The following is a 27,552-nucleotide window of genomic DNA, read 5'->3' on the forward strand; positions in this document are numbered from 1 at the left end:
CCTATGTCCTGAATGGTATTGCCTAGGTTTTCTTCTAGGGTTTTTATGGTTTTAGGTCTAACATTTAAGTCTTTAATCCATCTTGAATTAATTTTTGTATAAGGTGTAAGGAAGGGATCCAGTTTCAGATTTCTACATATGGCTAGCCAGTTTTCCCAGCACTGTTTATTAAATAGGGAATCCTTTCCCCATTGCTTGTTTTTCTCAGGTTTGTCAAAGATCAGATAGTTGTAGATATGTGGCATTATTTCTGAGGGCTCTGTTCTGTTCCATTGGTATATATCTCTGTTTTGGTACCAGTACCATGCTGTTTTGGTTACTGTAGCCTTGTAGTATAGTTTGCAGTCAGGTAGTGTGATGCCTCCAGCTTTGTGCTTTTGGCTTAGGATTGACTTGGCAATGTGGGCTCTTTTTTGGTTCCATATGAACTTTAGTTTTTTCCAATTCTGTGAAGAAAGTCATTGGTAGCTTGATGGGGATGGCACTGAATCTGTAAATTACCTTGGGCAGTATGGCCATTTTCACGATATTGATTCTTCCTGCCCGTGAGCATGGAATGTTCTTCCATTTGTTTGTATCCTCTTTTATTTCATTGAGCAGTGGTTTGTAGTTCTCCTTGAAGAGGTCCTTCACATCCCTTGTAAGTTGGATTCCTAGGTATTTTATTCTCTTTGAAGCAATTGTGAATGGGAGTTCACTCATGATTTGGCTCTCTGTTTGTCTGTTATTGGTGTATAGGAATGCCTGTGATTTTTGTACATTGATTTTGTATCCTGAGACTTTGCTGAAGTTGCTTATGAGCTTAAAGAGATTTTGGGTTGAGACGATGGGGTTTTCTAGATATACAATCATGTCATCTGCAAACAGGGACCATTTGACTTCCTCTTTTCCTAATTGAATACCCTTTATTTCCTTCTCCTGCCTGATTGCCCTGGCCAGAACTTCCAACACTATGTTGAATAGGAGTGGTGAGAGAGGGCATCCCTGTCTTGTGCCAGTTTTCAAATGGAAAGCTTCCAGTTTTTGCCCATTCAGTATGATATTGGCTGTGGGTTTGTCATAGATAGCTCTTAATATTTTGAGATACGTCCCATCAATACCTAATTTATTGAGAGTTTTTAGCATGAAGGGTTGTTGAATTTTGTCAAAGGCCTTTTCTGCATCTATTGAGATAATCATGTGGTTTTTGTCTTTGGTTCTGTTTATATGCTGGATTACATTTATTGATTTGCGTATGTTGAACCAGCCTTGCATCCCAGGGATGAAGCCCACTTGATCATGGTGGATAAGCTTTTTGATGTGCTACTGGATTCGGTTTGCCAGTATTTTATTGAGGATTTTTGCATCGATGTTCATCAAGGATATTGGTCTAAAATTCTCTTTTTGGGTTGTGTCTCTGCCAGGCTTTGGTATCAGGATGATGCTGGCCTCATAAAATGAGTTAGGGAGGATTCCCTCTTTTTCTATTGATTGGAATAGTTTCAGAAGGAATGGTACCAGTTCCTCTTTGTACCTCTGGTAGAATTCGGCTGTGAATCCATATGGCCCTGGACTCTTTTTGGTTGGTAAGCTATTGATTATTGCCTCAATTTCAGAGCCTGTTACTGGTCTATTCAGAGATTCAACTTCTTCCTGGTTTAGTCTTGGGAGGATGTATGTGTCGAGGAATTTATCCATTTCTTCTAGATTTTCTAGTTTATTTGCATAGAGGTGTTTGTGGTATTCTCTGATGGTAGTTTGTATTTCTGTGGGATCGGTGGTGATATCCCCTTTATCATTTTTTATTGCGTCTATTTGATTCTTCTCTCTTTTCTTCTTTATTAGTCTTGCTAGCAGTCTCAATTTTGTTGATCTTTTCTAAAAACCAGCTCCTGGATTCATTAATTTTTTGAAGGGTTTTTGTGTCTCTATTTCCTTCAGTTCTGCTCTGATCTTAGTTATTTCTTGCCTTCTGCTAGCTTTTGAATGTGTTTGCTCTTGCTTTTCTAGTTCTTTTAATTGTGATGTTAGGGTGCCCATTTTAGATCTTTCCTGCTTTCTCTTGTGGGCATTTAGTGCCATAAATTTCCCTCTACACACTGCTTTGAATGTGTCCCAGAGATTCTGGTCTGTTGTGTCTTTGTTCTCATTGGTTTCAAAGAACATCTTTATTTCTGCCTTCATTTCATTATTTACCCAGTAGTCATTCAGGAGCAGGTTGTTCAGTTGCCATGTAGTTGAGTGGTTTTGAGTGAGTTTCTTAATCCTGAGTTCTAGTTTGATTGCACTGTGGTCTGAGAGACAGTTTGTTATAATTTCTGTTCTTTTACATTTGCTGAAGAGTGCTTTACTTCCAACTATGTGGTCAATATTGGAGTAAGTGTGGTGTGGTGCTGAAAAGAATGTATATTCTGTTGATTTGGGGTGGAGAGTTCTGTAGATGTCTATTAGGTCCGCTTGGTGCAGAGCTGAGTTCAATTCCTGGGTATCCTTGTTGACTTTCTGTCTCGTTGATCTGTCTAATGTTGACAGTGGGGTGTTAAAGTCTCCCATTATTATTGTGTGGGAGTCTAAGTCTCTTTGTAGGTCACTAAGGACTTGCTTTATGAATCTGGGTGCTCCTGTATTGGGTGCATATATATTTAGGATAGTTAGCTCTTCTTGTTGAATTGGTCCCTTTACCATTATGTAATGGCCTTCTTTGTCTCTTTTGATCTTTGTTGGTTTAAAGTCCATTTTATCAGAGACTAGGATTGCAACCCCTGCCTTTTTTTGTTTTCCATTTGCTTGGTAGATCTTCCTCCATCCCTTTATTTTGAGCCTATGTGTGTCTCTGCATGTGAGATGGGTTTCCTGAATACAGCACACTGATGGGTCTTGCCTCTTTATCCAGTTTGCCAGTCTGTGTCTTTTAATTGGAGCATTTAGCCCATTTACATTTAAAGTTAATATTGTTATGTGTGAATTTGATCCTGTCATTATGCTGTTAGCTGGTTATTTTACTCATTAGCTGATGCAGTTTCTTCCTAGCCTTGATGGTCTTTACAATTTGGCATGTTTTTGCAGTGGCTGGTACTGGTTGTCCCTTTCCATGTTTAGTGCTTCCTTCAGGAGCTCTTGTAGGGCAGGCCTGGTGGTGACAAAATCTCTCAGCATTTGCTTGTCTGTAAAGTATTTTATTTCTCCTTCACTTATGAAGCTTAGTTTGGCTGGATATGAAATTCTGGGTTGAAAATTGTTTTCTTTAAGAATGTTGAATATTGGCCCCCACTCTCTTCTGGCTTGTAGAGTTTCTGCTGAGAGATCCGCTGTTAGTCTGATTGGCTTCCCTTTGTAGGTAACCCGACCTTTCTCTCTGGCTGCCCTTAACATTTTTTCCTTCATTTCAACTTTGGTGAATCTGACAATTATGTGTCTTGGAGTTGCTCTTCTCGAGGAGTATCTTTGAGGTGTTCTCTGTATTTCCTGAATTTGAATGTTGGCCTGCCTTGCTAGATTGGGGAAGTTCTCCTGGATAATATCCTGCAGAGTGTTTTCCAACTTGGTTCCATTCTCCCTGTCACTTTCAGGTACACCAATCAGATGTAGATTTGGTCTTTTCACATAATCCCATATTTCTTGGAGGCTTAGTTCGTTTCTTTTTATTCTTTTTTCTCTAAACTTCTCTTCTTGCTTCATTTCATTCATTTCATCTTCCATCACTGATACCCTTTCTTCTAGTTGATCGAATCGGCTACTGAGGCTTCTGCATTCGTCACGTAGCTCTCGTGCCTTGGTTTTCAGCTCCATCAGGTCCTTTAAGGACTTCTCTGCATTGGTTATTCTAGTTATCCATTCATCTAATTTTTTTTCAAAGCTTTTAACTTCTTTGCCATTGATTTGAATTTCCTCCTGTAGCTCGGAGTAGTTTGATTGTCTGAAGCCTTCTCTCAACTTGTCAAAGTCATTCTCCGTCCAGCTTTCTTCCGTTGCTGGTGAGGAACTGCATTCCTTTGGAGGAGGAGAGGCGCTCTGATTTTTATAGTTTCCAGTTTTCCTGCTCTGTTTTTTCCCCATCTTTGTGGTTTTATCTACCTTTGGTCTTTGATGATGGTGACGTACATATGGGTTTTTGGTGTGGATGTCCTTTCTGTTTGTTAGTTTTCCTTCTAACAGACAGGACCATCAGCTGCAGGTCTGTTGGAGTTTGCTAGAGGTCCACTCCAGACCCTGTTTGCCTGGGTATCAGCAGCGGTGGCTGCAGAATAGTGTATATTGGTGAACCGCAAATGCTGCTGCCTGATCGTTCTTCTGAAAGTTTTGTCTCAGAGGAGTACCCGGCCGTGTGAGGTGTCAGTCCGCCCGTACTGGGGGGTGCCTCCCAGTTAGGCTACTCGGGTCAGGGACCCACTTGAGGAGGCAGTCTGCCCGTTCTCAGATCTCAAGCTACATGCTGGGAGAACCACTACTCTCTTCAAAGCTCAGTTGGAAATGCAGAAATCACCCATCTTCTGCATCGCTCACGCTGGGAGCTGCAGACGGGAGCTGTTCCTATTCGGCCATCTTGGCTCCTCCCCACAAGGCATACTGCTAACTAGTTTTTGGGGCCAGAGGAATGGGTGAAGCAGGAGTTTTTACTTTTTCTAAAATTTGTTGCAAAGCACTTTCCAACTCTCTGAGACTGGACAGAATTCTCCTCTACCCACAGATCTGTATCTATGTATCTATTTTGTAGAGATAGGGTCTGTCTTAGTCACCCAGGCTGGAGGGGAGTGATGCGATCCTAGCTCACTGCAGCCTCAAACTAACTTCTGGGCCCAAGTGATCTGCCTCAGCTTCCCCAGTAGCTGGGACTACAAGTGTGTGCCACCACACTTGGCTAATGTGTGTGTGTGTTGACAGAGAGTCTGTGTTGCCCAAGCTGGTCTTGAAGTCGAGGCCTCAAGTGATCTTCCTGCCTTGGCTTCCCAAAGTGCTGAGATTACAGGTGTGAGCCACCGTGCGTGGACTCCCTTTTTTTCTACTTAGGTTTTTGATCACTCAGGCGTTGAGAATCTGGTACTAAAGAAGATAAGGTTCTGTTCTCAGAGAACTTATTAGAAAGGGTAGACAGTCACTAACCAAGTGAGATTTACTAAGTGCTGTGGAGGAAATGGCACTGGGTGAGGTGCTAGAGATGGGCGAGAAAAGCAAATTGAACTTTTGACTGGTCAGGGAGGGCATTTGAGCTGAAAGCGGAACAAGTAGGAGGAGCCAGTTGTGCGAGGGTGAAGAGTGTTCTGGGAGTAAGGAACAGCAGGAATCAAGGTCTCGCATGGGACCACAGTCACTCCCGTGTTTAAGGAACAGAAAGTCCAGGGCATCTCCCACTGGTGAGGAGAGGGTGGGACTAGATCTCATAAGCAGACCAGGGCCACAGGTTTAGATTCTGGGTTGAATGCAGCGAGCAGCCTCTGGCAGGCTTTAAGCTGGGGTATGGTATGATAGGCTTTCCTAGTAACTGGGTTTCCAGTCCCACTTTGGTTCTCTTTGGATGTCACAGAGCAGGCACCATGGCAGGAAAAGCTGAAGCAAGTGGAACAGTTGCACCCTCCCCTGCTGACAGCTTCAGCAGTCCTGTCCCTCTTGCAAGGGGTGCTGGGGACACTTCTCCGGTTTTGTGTTTACTCACCTGTGTGTGAGCTGCCTGAGCTGATGAAGTGATGTTTAAGGTCTTTACTTTTAAAACCATCAGATCTCTTTGTACTTTTTAGGTTTCATTTTTCCTTGTCTTCCACTCACCCCCACCCCATCCCTCATGACCGCCCACTCCCCAATATCAATAAAAGTTTTTTTGGAAAGAATACAATCTACAACAGTGAACTCAGGATAATCTCATTAGCCCCATTCCTTAGAAATCAGTTGCTTGATTTAAAAGATAACTTTAAAAAGAGCATTCTTTTGTTTAAAGAATAAGGAGGCCATATTGGAATCCTCTTTTCCACATGTGGGCCATGGAGGGAATTGTTCCAAGCCTTCTCAAAGGAATGGACCTCCACCCGCTGTATAGCATATGGGAAAATACTTAACGTGGGAGGAGTCCCAAAAGGATTTTAAGTACAACATTTGATTGATGATGGCAATATATAGTTACAGGAAATAATAATGAAAACTTACTATGGGCCAGGCACTGTTGTTAGCACTTAATGTGTAAATTTATCAAATCTTCACATTATTATTTCCACTTTATAGGTGAAGAAGTTGAGCTATAGATGGGTTAGGTGCTTTGCCAAGCTCATACCTGAGATTCAGATCCTGCTGTCTTGTTCTAGGCGGAGTCAGATGATCTGAGTCAACACAGCTTGGTGTCAGCCTTTTTGATCACAGTTTAAGAATTTCATATTACCTAGCATATAAATATACTTGTGTACACATATATCAAACCAAAAGTTCACAAAACAGTATTTACCATGATGCACACTATTTTCATTTTATTCTACATACTAAAGAAGAATGGCCAGTTGAGACCTCCTAAACTGATTTTACAGCCTACTAAGTTGTCTCAATCTGACATTTGAAAAGCTGGTGTAATGCTTCCAGAACTCAGGCTGTTGGAGTCAGACTTGCTGGATCTGACTAGGAGCTCTACCATTTGCTTGCTATGAGTTTGGGCAAATAACTTTGATCTGTACCTTAATGTCCTAATTTGTAGAATGGATTAAAAAGGTTAAATGAGTTAGTTAGGTAAAGCTCTTAGAACTAGGCCTGGCCTGAATGAAATACTCTCTAAATTGAATCAGTTGTTATTTCTAGACCATTGGACCTAAGCTAAGTGTAGTGACCCTGGGATCCCAGTTTGATTTTTATAGAAAAACTTCCAGATAGACCAGATTGTAAACATATTCCAGCAGACGCAGTGCCACCCCTCCCGTCAAAAATATGCCAAAGCAAAAAAACACATTTACAGTATCTGTTCCTCTCTTCCTGATGAGCAGCTACAAGTACATTCAAAGTTAAGTTTTAGGGTATGGCCTCAAATGGCAACAGAGGTCCAGTGTTAAATTTTAGCACACACGTTTGTAACTTTGTTAGTTTCCTAGGGAACCTTAATGTAAATACCACAATTAGTTGTCTAATAAAGTTTGAGATGAGAGGTGTTGCAGAAGAACAGCTGTTATATGCATGTTATAGGAAGATACAGAAGTCATCTTGGTTCCAATTGCCCCTAGAACTATTTTATAGAAGAGGTTGACCCTGTCGCCTGCTGCAACCATTTCACCAGGAGCAATGGTGGGAAACACCAACGTGCAGTGTCAGGGAAATGGGAGCTCCCTGAGGTGGCGTGTGGACCTGCCTCAGCAGGTGCCTTTTGTTTACACTAGCAGTGTCTTCCCAGATTGGTGATGACAACAGTAGGGACAAGTGGAGCATGCCTAACACAACAACCATTTCTGGCTATGAACTCACTGTCATGGAGTCAATACCCATTTCTATCCAAATCTCGTTACAGCCATCGTGACAAAATTATATATCTGTAATATATACCTATGTAAAATGCATGTTACAGATCTTGGGTCCTGGCTACATAAGCCTAGCGAGTCATATCCTTTGGGGCTGCATATTCAGCAACTGATAGGAGAGGAGTTGGACCAGTTTTTTTTTTTCTCTGAAACAGGGTCTTGCTCTGCCGCCCAGGCTGCAGTGCAGTGGTGCAATCACAGCTCACTGCAGCCTTGACCTCCCAGGCTCAAGCAGTCTCCCCCGACCTCAGCTGGGATCACAGGTGCGTGACACCATGCCCAGCTAATTAAATTTTTTTTTTGGCCAGGCTGGTCTGGAACTCCTGGCTTCAAGTGATCCTCCCACTTTAGCCTCCCAAAGTGCTGGGATTTAGGCGTGAGCCATTGAGCCCAACTCAGTGTTAAGAACACTTTTTGCCCTAACATTTTGAGTCTAGGAGAACTATATAACTCAAAAGACAGTAGGTCCAAGTGTCACAGCCCCTGATAAAATTTCAGAAGAGCTAGTGTGGTAGAGTTCTTTATAATACAACTTTATAATAACCAAAGTGTCCATAGTTCTGGGCTAAATTTTAAGGAAAACCTCACATATATGGTATAGTATGTTCTTAAAGCCACATCTACTCTGTTGTAATCACACATGAAGGTTTAGAAAATGAATTTCTATGATGTTTATATTATAGAATTACCATTTTCAGAAGAGAAAAACTGCAGTTCATAGGAAATTAAGTCTTGACATTTATTTTTATTTTTAGCGTGGGTGTCTTGCTATATTGCCCTGGCTTGCCTCAAACTCCTGGGCTCAAGCAATCCTCCTGCCTTAGCCTTTTAAGTCTTGATAACATTTTATTGTTTGGGAGGAGGGGTGAAACCAGATTCCTCAGGCACAAGCCCTTTTTAGGCTTTTCTGTTCCTTCATATTATTCTCAGACATAAGGATAAACAGGTGAAGTGTTTTTTTTGAGACAGAGTCTCGCTCTGTTGCCCAGGCTAGAGTGCAATGGCGTGATCTCAGCTCACTGCAACCTCCGCCTCCCAGGTTCAAGCGATTCTCCTGCCTCAGCCTCCCGAGTAGCTGGGATTACAGGTGCTGGCCACCATGCCCAGCTTTTTTTTATTTCTTTCTGAGATGGAGTTTTGCTCTTGTTGCCCAGGCTGGAGTGCAATGGCACAATCTCGGTCGGCTCACTCCCGGGTTCAAGCGATTCTCCTGCCTCAGCCTCCTGAGTAGCTGGAATTACAGGCATGCGCCACCACAGCCGGATAATTTTGTATTTTTAGGAGAGAGGGGGTTTCTCCATGTTGGTCAGGCTGGTCTCGAACTCCTAACCTCAGGTGATCTGCCTGCCTTGGCCTCCCAAAGTGCTGGGATTACAGGCGTGAGCCACCACACCTGGCCTAATTTTTGTATTTTTTAGTAGAGACAGTTTCACCATGTTGGTCAGGCTAGTCTCCACTCCTGACCTCAGGTGATCCACCCGCCTCGGCCTCCCAAATTGCTGGGATTACAGGCGTGAGCCACTGCACCTGGCTGCAGATGAGTTTTAAAACGGTTTACTTCCTTTCTGGAAACTCTGCCCAGTAATTTGATATATTTTGTCTGAAGATACTCTAGGAGTTTTTCAGACTTCAGTGAATTTTATTTGGGGAAGGGTCATGAAATCAAATGCAGAAAATCAACTCACTGAGGTAACCAGCATAAAAAAAAATGAAGTAGAAAACATGAGTGCATAGTTTCAAGTAAATGTTAGCGTGCGTGTGCTGTGTTGCTATAGAAAATGTAAGCTGTCAAAAGTTTGAAAAAATACAATTCTAAGGTGAGTTTCTGCAGATAAACTTTAAACATGACTAAAGTAGAGCACATACTCCAACTGAACCACATGGAGGAAAGCAGTGGTTTGAAACTAAAGATACATCAGGTCACAACATCTCAAATATTTAAGGGTCATCACCAACACCTGACAAACGACTGTTGCCACTGCAAGTTGTATAGCACGTATAACCTACCATGCATGAAACTTGACAACTTACTTGAACTTCTACCCACTAAGCAGTAACCAACATTATGTATGAAACAAAATGTACATTTCTCAGTCTCTCCATTGTCTAGAAAAACTGTTAAAACTGCTGACTACTTTTGTTACTGAATGTAATCGTGTTAGAAAAATAGTCTTGATGAAGACTTCTCCATGCAGTCAATCTTTATTATAGCAGTATTCGCATATTCACATCAAGTACATAGAACTTTTTTTGCCTTTTATATAATACAGTTTTTAAATAACTTTACACAGAAATAAATTTCTTCAATCTGAATTTCAGCTATCTTTTTTTATTCTCCATGCTTTCTATCCAAACTGAACAATATTTTCTGTTATACAAATTTACATGAGAAAAACTCCAAAGTACAAATGAAGGGACCTGAGCAGGAAAGAGAACCAAAGTATCAGGAAGTGGGTATGGGGGAGAATTAAAAAAAATAATAAAAGATTCAAGCAAACATTGAGAATAGGGGAAAAGAGGGAGACATCATCCATTTGACTGAAAATAAATGTCTTTTTTATGAATTGAAAAATAAGCTTTAAAAATAGTTACTCCATTGTAATTTTTGCAAAGCAGGTATAGAGAGGTCTGTGGACAATTAAAAAGTCCCCATCTTTTCACTGGGCACGCCCCAGACTCCACGAGAACCTTTTCAATGCTTGAGTGGAACTGAAGTGTACTAAACCCGAACCTTTGGCAGTAACAGAAAAGAGGAATGTGTGTGTGAGTCGCCATAAGGTTTGGAGTGGTGAAACAGGAACCGTGAATTCACTGCAGTTCAAACAGGAAGCATCTCCCTTTCCTCTCCCTTACAGGAGTCATGTCCTCAAACCAAGGAATACATGAAAAGGGGGGATTTCCTTTTTCTTGGTCTAAACCAAAGAGCAATGACAACTACTGAATAAAATTCAGAGACACATGTTGATGAATGATCAAATTCAATCCCCTGATCAGTTGTATGATCCTATCTTAGGAAAGGCAGCAATTGCCATGTTGAGGAAAGGATCAGATGTACAACCAACAAATGAGATTACCACAAATACATATCACTGTGATACAGTCCTCAAAAATCAGGCGATATCATGAAGGCCAAACTGAGTCTATATATGTGGCATGGCCAAAGGAAACACGGAGGACCCATGGATGCATTTTAAAATGAAGGCAGGAGAAGGGGACAGCACAGAGACATACACCCCTGTATGTAAACTAACATAACATGAAGATAAATAAGACATAAAGGCTAGCCACTTACGTTGGTCATTAACATGAATAAAAAGGCATTATATGTTGATATAGCTGGTTTTAATCAGCTATGGAACATACACAAATGTATTAGGAAGGAATGATTCTTAAAAAAACCGTTCACAGCTTAGAATAAAAAGCATACTTATTGCACTCTTACATTTGATTTCAGGTAATTACAGTTTATTTCCCACCCTCACATTAATTTTTCCCTATCCTAGATTTACTGCCACCTCACCCCATTTTGGTCTCTGTTCTCTACATCTGTGCCTACTCTGTGAGCTTTGTTGTTTATGCTAGTTTGCAGTGACTTCCAACTCATACTCCACCAAAACACACGTGGGTTCAAAAACTTAACACAAAAATGCAACGCAGTAATTTTCAAAACAAAACCAGGACTAAGCAACTTCATCAAAACCCCCAATCCCACCCGTCAACAGACCCTTCCTTTGCGGCATCTCTTCACAAATTTTCTGCCAACTCTCCCGCATATGTGCTGTACATGAGAACCAGCGGTCACGGTGCTGGAGAATGAACTCGGCTGGCCGGGAGAAGCAGATGGTTTGTACAAACATTTTTTGATACTACCATGAATAAACATATTTTAGTTGTTTTCAGAGCACTTCTATCTACAGAATTCTTTAAAAAAAAATGCACCTCTAAAAAATGGATACACTGGCTTACATTGGCTGTGTCCTCATACACACTCGTCAAGTCACTATAATTATTCAAAATAGCTAAATAAATGTCAACATTTTAATAAAGCTGATTTAGTAATTAATAAAACTTAACAGTTGAAGTTGTGGATGTTAAATAAAAGTACTTTAGTCACTCATTGAGTTGCCGACTAATTGCCCCATGCATTTTTTTTTTTTAAAGCACTGTTACCTTAATTTAAGATTTTAGGAGTTGGGTTTCTGTCCTTTTCCACATTAAAAATACCTGATAGGAACTGTTAATTACCCTTTCCACAATTAACAAAAATTAGAATTGAATTTCAATTTAAATGTCTTTGCCCAAACAAAAGTGAAAATAGGTTATTTGAAAACAACAAAACAGAGCTTACTGTCTAGTGTACTAATAAAACAAACATCTTACCAGTATTTTTAATTTTACCAGAGCTAGCAACATGGACCACAGATATACTGGTGACTCCGCTCTCCTCTGGCCAAGCTACAAATCATCACCTGAGGCAGAGATGCTACTACCCTCTTCTGGGGCTCAACTACCGATGGGCATCAGTAATCCATCCCAGTATAACATTTCAAGGATGTGCTGGAGACAATACATGGACTTTCTCTTTCAATGGTGAGGAATGAAACAAGATACAAGAACCACAGCATGGAATATGTTTTCTTTTACATCCAATGGCCAGGTCATAAAGGATGCCTTGAGACCTCCACCCTGGCCCCCACAGCGCTTTGGGACAGGATGACTAACGCAGTCCAGCTTCATGTGCAATCAAGTCCCGGGAAGAAATTTACATTTCAAACTCTGAAAAATCAGTGTCTAGGTTGGCAGCAGTACTCTGGAAACTGATAAAACCAAATTCGGTCCTATATTTCAATTTCCCCTTCTAAGTTAATACATGATTGCTGCCCATCATACAGTACTTCAACCCTAAACTACAGCAATTTCTGTCAACATTTCTGTTGTATAAAAGTTCCATGCTTTGAAGAGCCTATGGGAGTAGAAAAAGTTTCTCTAGAAATGTCACTGAACTATATTTGCAACCTAGTTGCTCTATGTGATAAATATATCTGACTATACTAGGGATTATGTGCTTTAAAAAAATAATTTTGTTCACTGAAAATTTACCTGTGTGTTTTCTCATTGTTAAATGTGATTTTGGCTATAAACTCTTTAGTGCATTTACCTATGCAGTCTAAATTGCACTCTAAAAATTATTAACACAGCTGAGTTAAACCAGAGTGGCTGCTCTCTTCACAAATCACTGATTTCTGCTAAAATGTTAGCTTTTTTATTGCATCATGAAGGCACAGTAAGATCATTTGGCAAATTGTCAAGGTATTTTTCTAGAGCCTCACCTACACCATTTCAACTCATGACCTGTAAGCTATTTGCTGTTCATACTCACAGTAAACCTTCCATCTCTGGCTATGGTGTTTATAGCCTAATGGTTGGAATCTGCTCGTCTCAAGGTGCTGGTATTCCTAGCACTAACAATGCCAACTTGGACAAAGAAGAGAATCTTGCAAAAAGAGTAATCATTCTACCCTCTTAGCTGGGTGGTCTTTCTATGAATGCCTGTGCATGTGACAAAGCTGCAGCAAACTCATTATGAGGATGTACTGTCATGCCAAGCCTACTGAAAATTAAAATTACATCACTGTTAGTGAAGTGATACCACAGCTATTTAATTTCATGCAATTGACTCAAGGTTAAGATTCTGAAACGTACCCCTAAACCGGTTCTGGCACCACTTTCAACAACATTCAGATATTCCGAGCAACACATTTTTTTACAGTATTACTGCTTAAATGTATAATGCCCTTTAGGACAAAATGAGAGTGCTCAAATACAAGTACACAAAAAAGTTAAAATCTTAAATCATCGTCATGTTCTAGAGCTCCTGACTTTTCATATTTTAAAATAAATAACTATTCATTACCTCATTCTGAAGAGGTAGTTTTTTGTAGAGGTCACCTGAACCCTGCAATGTGGTTTCGAACTAAAGCTAGAGATGAGGTTTGCAAGCAGCTGGCGGGTGGATGTACAGTGGGGACAGGTGAGATCTGAGGAGGATGTGCAGCAGCTCGCACTCCGCCTGGTGAATACAAGGTAACATCCTGTGATGAAAGTGCTGTCACCGCACCAAACCAGAAGCTAGGAAATATTTACAAAGTTTCAGGTTGACAGTGCTGCAGTCTTGAATTATTTCTTTATATACTGCTCTTTCTTCTCCAACACCAACATAAATATAGCATATATCATTTGTATGGGATTTTATCTTCTAAAATGCCCCAGTATGCCCTACTAGATCTCAAATACAATCAGGGGTGAGATATTCGGGAACCAGAATTTGACAGCTAGACAGAATCTTCTTTTAAGGTGCACATTAACAACAAATGATCACACTGAATTTTCTATTCACAAATCCCTTTTATAAACTATTTTTTTGGTCAATATTATTTCAGTGGCAAAAGTCTAGGTCCTTGACTCTAACGATGAAAAAAGTCCATCAGGAATACTACACAGTTACAAACAATCCTCTGTAGTTGCTCTCAAATTTTTCAGAAGGCTTCACCTCTCCCTACCAAAAATAAAACACACTACAGAAGGCACTGCAGCCACTTTACAGACAAGACTGTTACACCCTTACAAGATGATCAGTGACGCAGCCACATACTGTCTATACAATTACTCATAAAGTGCTTTTCACAAATAAGGACTTCTTCCTCGTTTTTTTAGGAGCTCAGTAAGTCTAACTGTTGTCTAAGCATCAAAAAATAAAGCAGATAAAACACAAATAAAACCTATTTTCATGTCATTTGTAAACTAGAGAAAAAACCTATTTCATAGAAAAAGGAAGAAAAGAGAGGTTTAAATATTTTATTTTTTAAGGTATCTATAAAAATCTCAATATGCTAAGCCTGGCTCCTGGGCACAGCTTCATTTGAGATCAAGTCTGCTCCCCCGTTCAAATGAGATACCAGCCTATTCTAAAATGCAAGGGAAGAAAAAGTGTATCACCCTGAATATTGTTTAAGAAACTGAAATGCTAAGCTTCCTCCCTAATGGTACCGCCCCTGCCCCTGCCCCACGGAGGCAGTCCCGGACCCAGGCTGCACATGTTCTACCTCCTCAGCAGGACATGAAACACATCCTCTTGTTCAAGCCCAGGTCTCTCTACCTGCGGAAACTTGAAGCCAATCTTGGTAAAGGGAACACAGCCACATTTAAAAGCATCTAGAGATATATTTAAAAAGAAAAAACAGCCAATGCTTTTCAAGAGAGGCAGTATTATTGCACAGAAGATGTTCTTCAAATCAGCGTGAATTATTTCCACCTTTGCAATTTCTGAATTTTGTAAGACACTGCCCTGCTGATGTAAAACTTAAAAACAAATTTGCTTTTCAAACTGATTAATAACTTAAGGATCTTTTCCATTTTACTAGGACAACCTTTTACAAGACAATGAAAATTTCAATAGGCTTTCTTCTGAATACATGTATGTTAGCAAAAATCTAATGGTAGTGAGCTTTTAGTGGCTGCAATATAGACAGCAGGGCCTGGAGTTACAATCTGAAATTTTTAAATAACAATTTCTAATTCCTTGATTTATTCTGGGTCTTGTTTAATTTCTTTCAAGTCCTTGGCTATAGCTTGGTTGGTCTGATTTGATTTGTGTTCCTAAATTCTGAGTCTAGATTCCTGATAAGGGAGGTTTTCCATTAATTTGCCATTAATACATCCGCTTTCTTTGCTATGACTGTGATTGATATTACCCTTTAATAAAGGCCAAAGGAAGCTATAACTAGGTTATATTTTCCATTTGTGCAAAGATAAGATTTAGGTTCTTAATGAATGCCAGTTCTTTCTATAAAAACAACTGATGACAGCTTTCCCACACCCTCCCTCAGTCCTAATATCCCTAAAATTGCTCTATTCTCTGTCTGGGAATTCAGCTGCCAAATTGCCCAACCTTTTGAAGACCAGGCTTGGGAAAAAAGGAAGAAGGAGAATGAATGGAGACGCCACCATTTTTATTTTAGGTTGCATATTCTAGATAAAAGACTAGAAAGAAGATGTGGGATATAGTGTTAGGAATCAGTTGGAAGAAACAATGAGATTATTAGCAAAGATGTTAGTGTGGATCCAGCAAGTACCATTAATTGAAAAATTATAAATATTTGTCATTATGCTAAGACTCCTCATATTTAGGTAGAGAAAAGGATAATGATCTTTCTTAAAAGTTGTTTATATAACAAAAATACAATTTTCAGGATATATAATTCTGGTGGGAAGTATTGTTTTTTTCCAATTCAATTAAATCTGAAAATTATTTTCTTTTTAATAAAAATAGAAAAGAAGAAACTCAGAAATTAAAACCTGTACCTTATATTTAAATTATCTAAATTTCTCACATTCAAAACTGTTATTAAGCAGTTTTGTGGGGGTTTAGTTAGATACTGCCACGGCATTTTGTGCCCTGGACAAAGTAGCCGCATAAGTAGTTGGTGACTGGAAGAGCATAGGAGGAAGATATAAACTGTATTTCCTGAGAATTTGCTACATTGTGGAGGAAAAAAAAAAAACCCAAACACTTATCTTCATTGCTGGACCCAATGAGAAAGAAGGCAATGTGTGCCAGCACTATCTAGCCTGCTTGGTTAGACAGACCCCTCAGTGAGCAAGGAAACAAAAGGCCAGAGACCCCGGAGGTCAGGAAGAAGATGCAGCATGCCCTTTTCCTCCATACCAAGACACATCTACTCACCACTCAGCCTCCATTTAAATAAAATAGTTTCCTTTTGATAAAATCTGTCAAGGCCTGAACACGCACCACATAGAAAGGGCAAGCTGCATTTTTGTTCCATCCCTCAGAAACTAACTGGTGGTCACTAGGGGAAAGAGCTCCAAAACAAAATTCCAGAACAGGAAAGAGAACGATGCTTGGTGATTGAAACTGCCCCATCAGATGATCAGCCACAAATTGATCTGGTGGTTAGAAGGGCAAAGTTGACTGGCAGACTTTCCATAGCAAATCTCCCAAGCTGTAGCAGCAGTTTCTTTCCATCATGCCTGACCATCAAAAGGTCAGAATTCAGGGTCTCTCCTCTTTCTTCCTGGGACTGGGCAGACTTGTATGCTCGTGGTATTTTTGTTGAAGAAACACTGGCAGCAGAGAATTCTGGTTCCTAAAACATTCTTTCCTCTTTTGTTGGATGGGAAATTCCATTCTGTTCCACATCAGCTTATGCATTGGAAATTTTGTATCTTTAAAAAAAGATTTGAGGAACAGAACTGTGTTTTGATGTTAACAAATTGTACGAACACAAGACTTAAGAAATAAGAGCAGATGCTGCCATGATGGTGGCTACTTGAAGGCTGCAAATTCTCCTGTAGAGGGAGGACAAGAGCTAATTTTAAAAAAGTCATCTCAAATAACCTAGAGACACAGAAAAGCCTCATTTGAGCTTCACTGAAAAGTAACTAGTTATATATTTCAAGTCTAGCAACAGCATTGCTAATTTAAAAGCAAAAACGGCTGAAACCCATGGAAGAACACAACATATATAGTATACAGAATATGGTTCAGCTCTATCAATTAAATAGCAAGTCTGCAGAATTTTCCAGTTGGGTTTTATGTATCATGGTTCTGATCAAGCTGAAAACAGTTCCAATGAACAAAATTTCTCAGAAACTGAATGTAAAGTAGTAATGTCAATTTGTAGAATACTTCCACCTCTGAATTATCAACTCATTTTCACCTATCATATTATTATAATGCCACTATTAGGAAGAGAGAGGCAGTAGTTATCCTCATTTTGCTAAAGATACAATTAAGAGGTCAACTGATTTGTTCACACCACACGTTTGACAGAGAAAGAAAATCCAGACTGCCTATTTTCTAGTTAATTTCACCTTCAATCTAACAAAAAATTAAATATAGGCACATCACTGAACATAATTATCAGCATAAAGAATTCTTTAAACCACAAAGTACCTTTGTGATATCATGCTCCTTTAGCTTAATGAATTTGGGGGCTTCATGCCATTATTTTTTTCTTTTTTTTTTTTTTTGAGATGGAATTTTGCTTTTGTTGCCCAGGCTGGAGTGCAATGGTGCAATCTCGGTTCACTGCAACCTCTACCTCCTGGGTTCAAGTGATTCTCCTGCCTCAGCCTCCCAAGTAGCTGGGATTACAGGCATCCGCCACCAGGCCTGGCTAATTTTTGTATTTTTAGTAGAGATGGGGTTTCACCATGTTGGCCAGACTGGTCTCAAACTCCTGACCTCAGGTAATCTGCCTGCCTCGGCCTCCCAAAGTGCTGGGATTACAGGTGTGAGCCACTGCACCCGGCCGCCATTATTTTTCATCTACCATTTTGTCCATAGTTTCTACTTGTAACTAAAGGCCAATTCCTGTTATACACACCATAGTTAATTTCTGGGGATTAGTTAATAACTGACAATTAACAAAATTTAGTCAGCCATACCACTATTTTTCTTTTTTTTTTGAGACGGAGTCTTGCTCTGTTACCCAGGCTGGAGTGCAGTGGTGCGATCTCGGCTCACTGCAAGCCCTGCCTCCTGGGCTCATGCCATTCTCCTGCCTCATCCTCCCCAGCAGCTGGGACTACAGGCACATGAAGCCACGCCCGGCTAATTTTTTTGTATTTTTAGTAGAGACAGGGTTTCACTGTGTTAGTTAGGATGGTCTCTATCTCCTGACCTCATGATCCGCCCGCCTTGGCCTCCCAAAGTGCTGGGATTACACGCATGAGCCACCATGCCCGGCCAGCCATATCACTATTTTTCAATAGCAGCTTCTGATGAGGATCCAAGCAATCACTTATATGAATATACTGTTTAATCCAGGAATAACCTATCTAATTTCTGATTGCTATCAGATTCCAACTGGTTGCTAGATAACACTGGCACATCCCAACAACAGATTGCTAATGACTGGATGATTGAATCCTCAGCTTTGTAAGCTGATAGTATTAGTGACTGACTGAGTGCCTGATGCCTCACGGAACAGTTTGTACACATCTGCATCCAATTCTCATGATAACCCTATGAGGCAGATGCTATCATCTATATTATATAGATGAGGAAGCCAGGGTTTAGAGTGGTCAAGTAACTTGCCTGAGATCATATACAGAAAATTGCAGAGAAGGAATGCAAACCCAGGTGCTGACTCCAAGACCCAGCAGTCCCTAAACAACTTTCAACAATTAACACTTTGTTTTCCCAATCTGAATACAACTACTAATGAACTGCAGATAGTCTATTATCTCTTTCTATGCATGAATTCCTTTTAACAAGCAATTAACTAAGGTATTGTGAGTCCAAAGATCAAGAAAGGGTAAAAGAATTATTGCCTCATATTTAAAGTTAAGAGGATTGGGGAATCTAGCACTGATTTAAAAAAAAAAAAAGGCTAAATTAAATTACTAAGACCTTAGAGTAAAACATTTGGAGTATAATCATAGGAGGCTATTATGGTAACACACTCCAGAAATATACAAACATTCTTACTATTGTTGCTTACAGTTTGAGTACTTATAATTTTAAGGTTGCTATTTTTAGTGTTTTAATGTTTCTTTAAAATGACTTGCAACATTCTTATGAGTAATCATGTATCTAGCCAAATCAAATCTCATTAAAGGAAGTCAATGTAAAAATAAGATTTATAGAAAAGAAATCTTTATGAAAATGCCTAGAATTAATCTATTAAATAAAAAAATCAGAAAATGCTAATATCTAAGCCAAATGTTAATATACTACATTAAAAAATACTTAAAAAAATCTTCAGCTAAGGTTGGGCACAGTGGTTCACGCCTATAATCCCAGCACTTCAGGAGGCCGAGGCAGGAGGACTGCTTGAGCCCAGGAGTTTGAGACCAGGTAGGGCAACATAGTGAGACGCTGTCTCTCCAAAAAAAAAAAAAAAAAAAAATCAGTTGGATGTGGTGGCACATGCATGTAGTCCTAGCTACCTAGAGGAGGCTGAAGTGGGAGGATCACTTGAGACCAGCAGGTTGAGGCTGCAGTGAGCCAGGATTGTACCACTGCACTCCAGCCTGAGTAACGAAACCCTGTCTCGAAAACAAAACAAAATACACACACACACGCACACAACTTCAGATGTTTCCTGTTCATTATAATGATTAGAAATTTCATTTTGTTGAAGTGTCATACTCCACAAACTTAAATATTAGTCTTAAAAATAAAAACCAGGCCGGCGAGGTGGCTCATGCCTGTAATCCCAGCACTTTGGGAGGCGGAGGAGGGTGGATCATCTGAGGCCAGGAGTTCAAGACCAGCCTGGCCAACATGGCGAAACTCTCTCTCTACTAAAAATACAAAAATTAGGGCCAGGTGCAGTGGCTCAAGCCTGTAATCCCAGCACTTTGGGAGGCTGAGGTGAGCAGATCACCTGAGCTCAGCAGTTCGAGACCAGCCTGGCCAACATGGTGAAACTGTTTCTACTGGGAAAAAAAAAAAATTACGTGTGGTGCCACATACCTGTAATTCCAGCTACTCAGGAGGCTGAGGCAGGAGAATCACTTGAACCCGGGAGGCAGAGGCTGCAGTTAGCTGAGCTCACACCACTGCACTCCAGCCTGGGCAACAGAATGAGACTCTGTCTCAAAAACAAAAAAATTACCAGGGTGTGGTGGTACTGCACCACTGCATTCCAGACTGAATGACAGAGCAAGACTCTGTCTCCAAAAAAATTTAAAACCAAACAACCGCACAAAGAACAAATTTTTACCAACAAACTCCAAATCAAATACAAAGCAAACACTATCACTCTATCAAAAGTCTAGTGCTTCTAACAGAATGCAGTCCTTTTTATAGTCATACTTGGTGTTGAGGGGAAAAAAATAAAAGAATCCATAGTTCAGGAATCAATAAAATAAGACTCTTAAAATGTCCCTAAAACATGGAGAATTTAAGGAAAACATGGGAGTAACAGGTGATGAATCTGCTTTCACAAAAAGTATCTTTTCTTAATGATTCCTTCTTGCCCATCTGGAAATCTCTACTATTCTACTTCCTACCCGTCTTCTATTTGAAGAGCCAACTCTGCTTGTGTGAAGTTATTTGAAGTGAAATACCTAGATACTCTATGTCTTAAAAAAAATCTTGGTATATTAATTAATAAAAAAAAATCAATTTGAGGCCAAATTGAAATATTTTCTTTCCCCTTCTTTCAGGTTGAGGATAATTTAAGCTGCATCTTCTGTTTCTTTTTTTGAAAGAGTCTTGCTCTACTACCCAGGCTGGAGTGCAGTGGTGCAGTCTTGGCTCACTGCAACCTCTGCCTCCCGGGTTCAAGCAATTCTTGTGCCTCAGCCTCCCAAGTAGCTGGACTACAGGTGCACACCACCATGCCCAGCTAATTTTTGTATTTTTAGTAGAGACAGGGTTTTGCCATGTTGGCCAGGCTGGTCTCGAACTGGCCTCAAGTAATCCACCCGCCTCAGCCTCCCAAAGTGCTGGGATTACAGGTGTGAGCCACCACAACCGGCCATGCATTTTCAAGTTAACTTTATTTAGGAATAGAGCAGAGAACAACTGGGAAGACTGAAAAAAAAAAAAAAGACCCTGTGATTTTAGACACCTCAAATATCATGGTTTATGTGAAAGCTAAAGACTTTATTAACTAGTTTAAAAATATTACTCTTACCCTTTACTCCAGAATGGAGTATATTTTAATGGGCATTATACATAGAATTTGATAAATTCCTTAAAGTATGTTATGAAAAGTAACAGTTTACTTCTTATCCAAATCAATCACTACTTGACATTTAAGGAGAAAGTCAACTGCAGCCAGAATAAGTCCCCTCCTGACATTCTTCGTCATGACTTTCAAGCAGTTTCTTTTTTTCTTTTCTTTTTTTGAGACAGGGTTTTGCTTTGTTGCCCAGGCTGGAGTGCAGTGGCATGATGAAGGCTCACAGCAGCCTCCGCCCCCAGGTTCAAGGGATCCTCCCACGTCAGCCTCCCGAGTGGCTGGGGCTACAGTTGTGCACCACTATGCTTGGCTAATTTTTAAATTTTTCTGTAGAGACACCGTTTCGCCATGTTGTCCAGGCTGGTCTCAAACTCCTGGGCTCACGCGATCTGCCCACCTTGGCCTCCAAAAGTGCTGGGATTACAGCGTGAGCCACTACGCCTGGCCCAGGCAGTTTCAAAAGGATGAGAAACATTCTGGCATAGACACATCGAGTCTTTTAAATTCTTTGAGAAAACAGTCACAGGAAAGATGAAATATTTAGTAAAGTAAAAAGTTTTACAGAAATGCTCAACAATTTTCAATCAAATAAGACTATAACTGATAAAATGTTTCTGTCATGAAGTACCATTTCATAATATTTTTTAAAAAGGCACATAATTTTCTTAAACTAAGAGTGACTCACTTGAGAGAAAGGCCATTTAAGCTGGTATATTAAATAGCCAATGTTTTAGAGAGGACAATTTTAACTATTGGTTTAACTATTAGAGTTTAGTATCTAAATGGCTGGTATATGCCATCCGAGGGGCAGGAAGAAAATAAATAAATAAAAAAGATTAAATGGCTAGTGTAATACCTGAAAATAAATAAACTGGAAGCATCTGATTACATCCTGTGATCCTGAAACTATTTAAAATCAAGAAGACAAATCTTTTTCCTCATCATTGATTAGTAAAACTTTTAAAATGCAAAACAAATTTATAAAAAGGTTTCCTTACTGAAGAAGGAAATCAACTTTTAAGGCCGGGCGCGGTGGCTCACGCCTGTAATCCCAGCACTTTGGGAGGCCGAGGCGGGCGGATCACGAGGTCAGGAGATCGAGACCATCCCGGCTAAAACGGTGAAACCCCGTCTCTACTAAAAATACAAAAAATTAGCCGGGCGTAGTGGCGGGCGCCTGTAGTCCCAGCTACTTGGGAGGCTGAGGCAGGAGAATGGCGTGAACCCGGGAGGCGGAGCTTGCAGTGAGCCGAGATCCCGCCACTGCACTCCAGCCTGGGCGACAGAGCGAGACTCTGTCTCAAAAAAAAAAAAAAAAAAAAAAAAAAAAAAAAAAAAAAAAAGGAAATCAACTTTAATTTCAAAAAAAAAAAAGAGGGCTCAGGTTTTAGGAAAAAAGCAGTCACAAAAGAACAAATGTTCTTTTGTTTCAATTACTTAGTCAAAGAGATTAACTCTACATATGGTTAGAAAAAATAATGTTTTTATTTGGAGAATATATTTAAAACTCAGTATAAAACAAAACCCAAGAACAAATACAATTAAACCTGAAAGGGAAACATTTAATTCTACTGCTTCCTATTTCTCCAGATCCATGTTAGCTAAACATGTCACCTGTCACATTTTTAATGTCCTTTCACTAACATTTCCGGTGGACCTAATTTAAAAGAGAGAGTAGAATTACTCTGTGACACTTTGGAGGCATGTTTTACTGGCTACAGAATGGAACAATGAGTTTCTGAGTGGCTCTACAGAGCTTAGCCACACCCATCGCAAAGGAGACTAGTAAAGAAAGAAAGGAAAGGTGTCAGATGCAGATGATGGGAGCCTAGGCAGGATGGCATTGAGAAGAAAAAGAGAGTGAACAATGAAAGGAAGATAACTGTGAGGCAGGTATGCTGGGAAATTATAGAAGGAGCTCTATCAATAAAGAGACCCCTGACCTTGTGCCTCAAAATGGCCAAACATTTGGAGCATTCCACAAAGTCAATTTTGTAAAAACTTTGTTAGTTACATGCTTGCTAGTCTTCTATTTGTGAATGAATAAAACCCTATCTAACAATTACTAATAATCATATATTTAATGCCACTGGAGGATTTAAAAATCATATACTTAGATATTTTCCAATAGTTGTACTTCTTTATTCCTTAGTATCATTTTTAAAAATACGTGAAATGTTCCTTTTCATTTTCTTAACTAAAGTCATGAATCAATTCTGATTCATAATGGCATTACTTATCTTAAGCTACCCAAATGAGGGGTTAAAGATTTGCCGTAATTATTATTGAGTGATTTTCCTGGATGACATCTAAGTATTCAAATAAAGAAAATGTTTCAAAAATTTATTTGTGGGTACTTAAAAACTAAATTATCATTAATTTAAAGTCTTCTCAATTTCCTTCTTTATTGACTTCAAGGAGGCATTTATGCAGATATGTGTTTACTGGAAGAACCTTGATCTATTGGCTACATTTAAAAATCATGACAAAACCAAATTGAGTAAGTGAAGATATAGTTAAGAGGCTGACAGTGAAGCAGAGATGGCCAAATCTTTGATAGGACCACGTGCTGTTGCTTTCTACTTTTGATTCCCTCTGAATCACAGTAAGAATACACTGACCACCACATTACAGTCATTTTCTACACAACAAAGTGTAAGTACTAAAGAACCCTAACAAATACTTCATACCATTGAATGAAAAAAGGAGAAGAGCATTCATTCATCATAAGTAGAATCTTGCTGGGCAAAGAATATAAGGAGGACAGAACATGAGACACAATGATAAGGTGATTGCTAAAATATGCATCATGAGAGGTAAGAATAATCTAATAACAACTTTAAAAAATCTATTACCTGGTGTTTGGCAACCAGAGGTATCTCAAAGAAAAACACACCTAAAAGTTCTCACAGAATTCTGTGAAGATTTTTTGCAGGGGAGAGATTGGGTGTGAAGGGAGCAATGCGTTTGCAACAAAATTTGACTTCTACATGAGCGAGACATCCTTAATGTATTTTAAAAAAAGCTATTTAAAAGAAACTCCAATTTATAACATTTTCCCGCTAAAAATCCGAAGTTAAGACATTTTACTCATGTCAAACGTGCCACTCCTCAGCAATATTTTTGGTCACCTGCACTCAAAATTTATAAAAAGAAACTTAGTTTATTGCTTCAAGGAAATAAAAGACATCCACATTTTCCAAATTGTTATAAAAAGAAATAGTTATAGAAAAATTATTAAGAATAATAATAGAATTATTAAATTCTACTGACTTCCTAAATTAGATCTGTTCAGTTTGCCTTATCTAACCCAGGCTAACCGACTGCCAACTTCTCACCTGCAAACACAGGCATAGGTAGGGTCTTCTTCTGGAGTCCCTAGTGGACATGTGATAGCTGGCAACAAAAGTTGCATGAGAAACTGAAGTTTACTACTTAAAATAACCAAGTGAATGATACAAACCCGGAACAGAAAGTAAAGCCTCTAGAAGAGGCTCTGCCAATTTTTAGCAATGTCTATGTATTTTAACCCTTGGATGTTAAAAATCCAATGTTAAGTATAAATTTTAGTTTGGGGAAAAATTATATCTAGTCTTTAACCACACAAGTGTTCTTTGGTTCACCTTAAAAAAAAAGAGAGTATTTTATTCAATTTAACATATAAGCAAACATATGTTCATTTATTTTCCTTTTGTTGCTACTCTCCTGAACTCTCTCACTCATTTGTTTCAGTGGACAGGAAACGCACCATATCCCCCTGCCTGGATGGGTGTTTTTGGAGAAGCACAAGCATATAGACTAAAATCCTCTGTTTGGAAACCAGCCCGATTCAAGGAGGGTTCTGATGCACTGCGGTGAATTTTTGGCAATGAGCGGGCCAGCAGCTCAATAGAGGCGAGAATCTACAAAAAAAAAAAGAAAAAAAAAAGAAAAAAAAAGAAAAAAGAAAAAAAAAGAAAGAAAGAAAAAGAAAAAACAGAAAGAAGAATGAAAATCTGGGTGGTATAAATCTTTAAGAGTCCCATCACACTTTACAAGAAAGCACCTGAAATCTTACATTGTTTTCAGCATTGTCATAAATGCTTGGGAAAATATTTGTAAATAATTGGTATTTTTTCTTAAGAAGAAACTCTCTCTGTAAATTAAATGGGGAGAGTAATTCTTAGTCAGCTTTTATTTATATTTTAGATCATTTGTTAGTCTTGAAACAGTAAATAATAGAAATTTAAAACCAATTTTATACCTTTTTGTTATAGACCACAAGTCTCTTTTGGGAAGAAGATGGAGTATAAATAAGTAAAGCACTTTATGACTATCTCTAAACAGAATTATCACAGCTACTTGCCCTTTAAAGAAACCTAGCCATGGGAAATGTTTTACATACACCTAATTGAAAGCAGAACCTCACAGACCCAGAGTGCTAGTAGCACATGAGAAGTGACAGGGGACAACCCAAGAGCAAAGATAGGAGAACTCGACAAATAGACCCCAATATATAAAATGCAGAAATTCACAATTTTAAGGCACAAAGAAACAGGTTATAATCCTTGAAGGCATACAGCATGATAATGCATGTTCATAATCATGAAACATGTTTAAAGGGCTTGGCATAATGCCTGGCCTATAATAAGCACTCAATAAAACCTTAGCAGCTATTATTATTACTTTTGTTATTGTCCTGAGATACCAATTTTTTTTTTTTTTTGAAACGGAGTCTCGCTGTTGTCAACCAGGCTGGAGTGCAGTGGCACAATCTCAGCTCACTGCAACCTCCCCCTCCTGGGTTCAAGCGATTCTCCTGCCTCAGCCTCCTGAGTAGCTGGGATTACAGGAGCGCACCACCATGCCCAGCTAAATTTTTGTATTTTTAGCAGAGACAGGGTTTCACCACGTTGGCCAGGCTGGTCTCAAACTCCTGACCTCAGGTGATCTGCCTGCCTCGGCCTCCCAAAGGGCTGGGATTACAGACATGAGCCACCATGCCTGGCTGAAAATTGTTTTTAAAAGTTAAATTTTTTTTAAAAAGTAATCTTTATGATGATTAGTATAAGACAAAGAAGTAAGCAGTTGCAAAAAATTGTAAATTCCAAGTATAACATGCAAATAAAAATTAAAATACTATAGAAATGTATAAAGAGTATAAGGCTCTCAAATCCTGCTCTCCAGGGATAACCACTGTTAGAGTCTATACTTTCTTCTGTACCTTTTTTTTTTTTTTTTGAGATGGAGTCTCACTCTATTGTCCAGGCTGGAGTGCAGTGGCGCGATCTCAGCTCACTGCAACCTCCGCCTCCCAGGTTCAAGCGATTCTCCTGCCTCAGCCTCCCGAGTAGCTGGGATCACAGGCGTGTGCCACCACGCCCGGATAATTTTGTATTTTTAGTAGAGACGGGTATCACCATTTTGCCCAGGCTGGTCTCGAACTCCTAACCTCAACTGATCCACCCACCTTGGCCTCCCAAAGTGCTGGGATTACAGGTGTGAGTCACTGCGCCTGGCCTCTTCAGTACCTTTTTTTATGTATAAAAATACATACATGAAAACAAGGCCCACCTGAACACCACTTTTTTTTTTTGGAGATGGAATTTCACTCTTGTTGCCCAGGCTGGAGTGCAATGGTGCGATCTCGGCTCACCGCAACCTCCGCCTCCTGGGTTCAAATGATTTTCCTGCCTCAGCCTCCCGAGTAGCTGGGATTACAGGCATGTGCCACCACGCCTGGCTAATTTTGTATTCTTAGTAGAGTCAGAGTTTCTCCATGTTGGTCAGGCTGGTTTCGAACTCCCAACCTCAGGTGATCCGCCTGCCTCGGCCTCCCAAAGTGCTGGGATTACAGGCGTGAGCCACCGTGCCTGGCCTCTGTTTAACCTTTTAAAGTGGTTATCAGGCTGGGCACTGGGGCTCACGCCTGTAATCCCAGCACTTTGGGAGGCTGAGGCGAGAGGATCGCTTGAGGCCAGGAGTTCAAGACCAGCCAGGGCAACATAGTGAGAATCTATCTCTACAACCACCACCACCACCACCACAAGAAATTAGCTGGGTGTGGTGATAGGCACCTGCAATCCCAGCTACTTAGGAGGCTGAGGTGAGAGGATCGCTTGAGCCCAGGAGTTTGAGGCTGCAGTGGGCTATGATCATATTACTGCACTCCAGCCTGGGCAACAGAACAGGCCCAGCCTATAAAAAAAAAAAATGAGGTATCATACTACATTTTGTTTTCTGTCTTGTTTTCTTTTTCTCTCACCAATATCCATGTCATCAATACAAAACTAACTTAATCTTAATGTCTTTTTCTTATTATAGTAAACATTCTTATATATATCTGAATACTTATGAAATAGGTTACATAGCACAGATTTTTAGAAGTATTTTGAATT

The 27,552-nt window shown here is 39.7% G+C and overlaps 1 protein-coding gene across 16 annotated transcripts in view, besides 1 other annotated feature; it reads right to left on the reverse strand.

Annotated features, from left to right (window-relative positions):
- Positions 1-3,634: 3,634 nt before the first annotated feature.
- BRAF (B-Raf proto-oncogene, serine/threonine kinase) overlaps positions 3,635-27,552 on the reverse strand; it is a 211,602-nt gene continuing 187,684 nt past the window's right edge. For 9 of the 16 annotated variants that reach the window (NM_001378470.1, NM_001378475.1, NM_001378471.1 and 6 more), the window contains 2 exons: positions 24,924-25,077; positions 9,644-16,823 (listed from right to left, as the gene is read on the reverse strand). In NM_001378470.1, the coding sequence (NP_001365399.1) occupies positions 16,801-16,823; positions 24,924-25,077 (177 nt within the window). In that variant the 3' untranslated portion in view covers positions 9,644-16,800. Of the gene's footprint in view, positions 6,344-9,643; positions 16,824-20,971; positions 25,078-27,552 lie in introns of those variants that run through there. The other 7 variants (NM_001378469.1, NM_004333.6, NM_001374244.1 and 4 more) reach the window with 3 other exon arrangements.
- Positions 25,472-25,672: a silencer, noted in NCBI's record as "peak6789 fragment used in MPRA reporter construct". NCBI's record gives its function as "represses an SCP1 promoter by STARR-seq MPRAs in K562 erythroleukemia cells {active_cell/tissue: K562}" and the evidence as "EXISTENCE:reporter gene assay evidence [ECO:0000049][PMID:32103011]".

This window comes from Homo sapiens, chromosome 7 (genome assembly GCF_000001405.40).
Source record: "Homo sapiens chromosome 7, GRCh38.p14 Primary Assembly".
Lineage (NCBI taxonomy): Eukaryota > Metazoa > Chordata > Mammalia > Primates > Hominidae > Homo > Homo sapiens.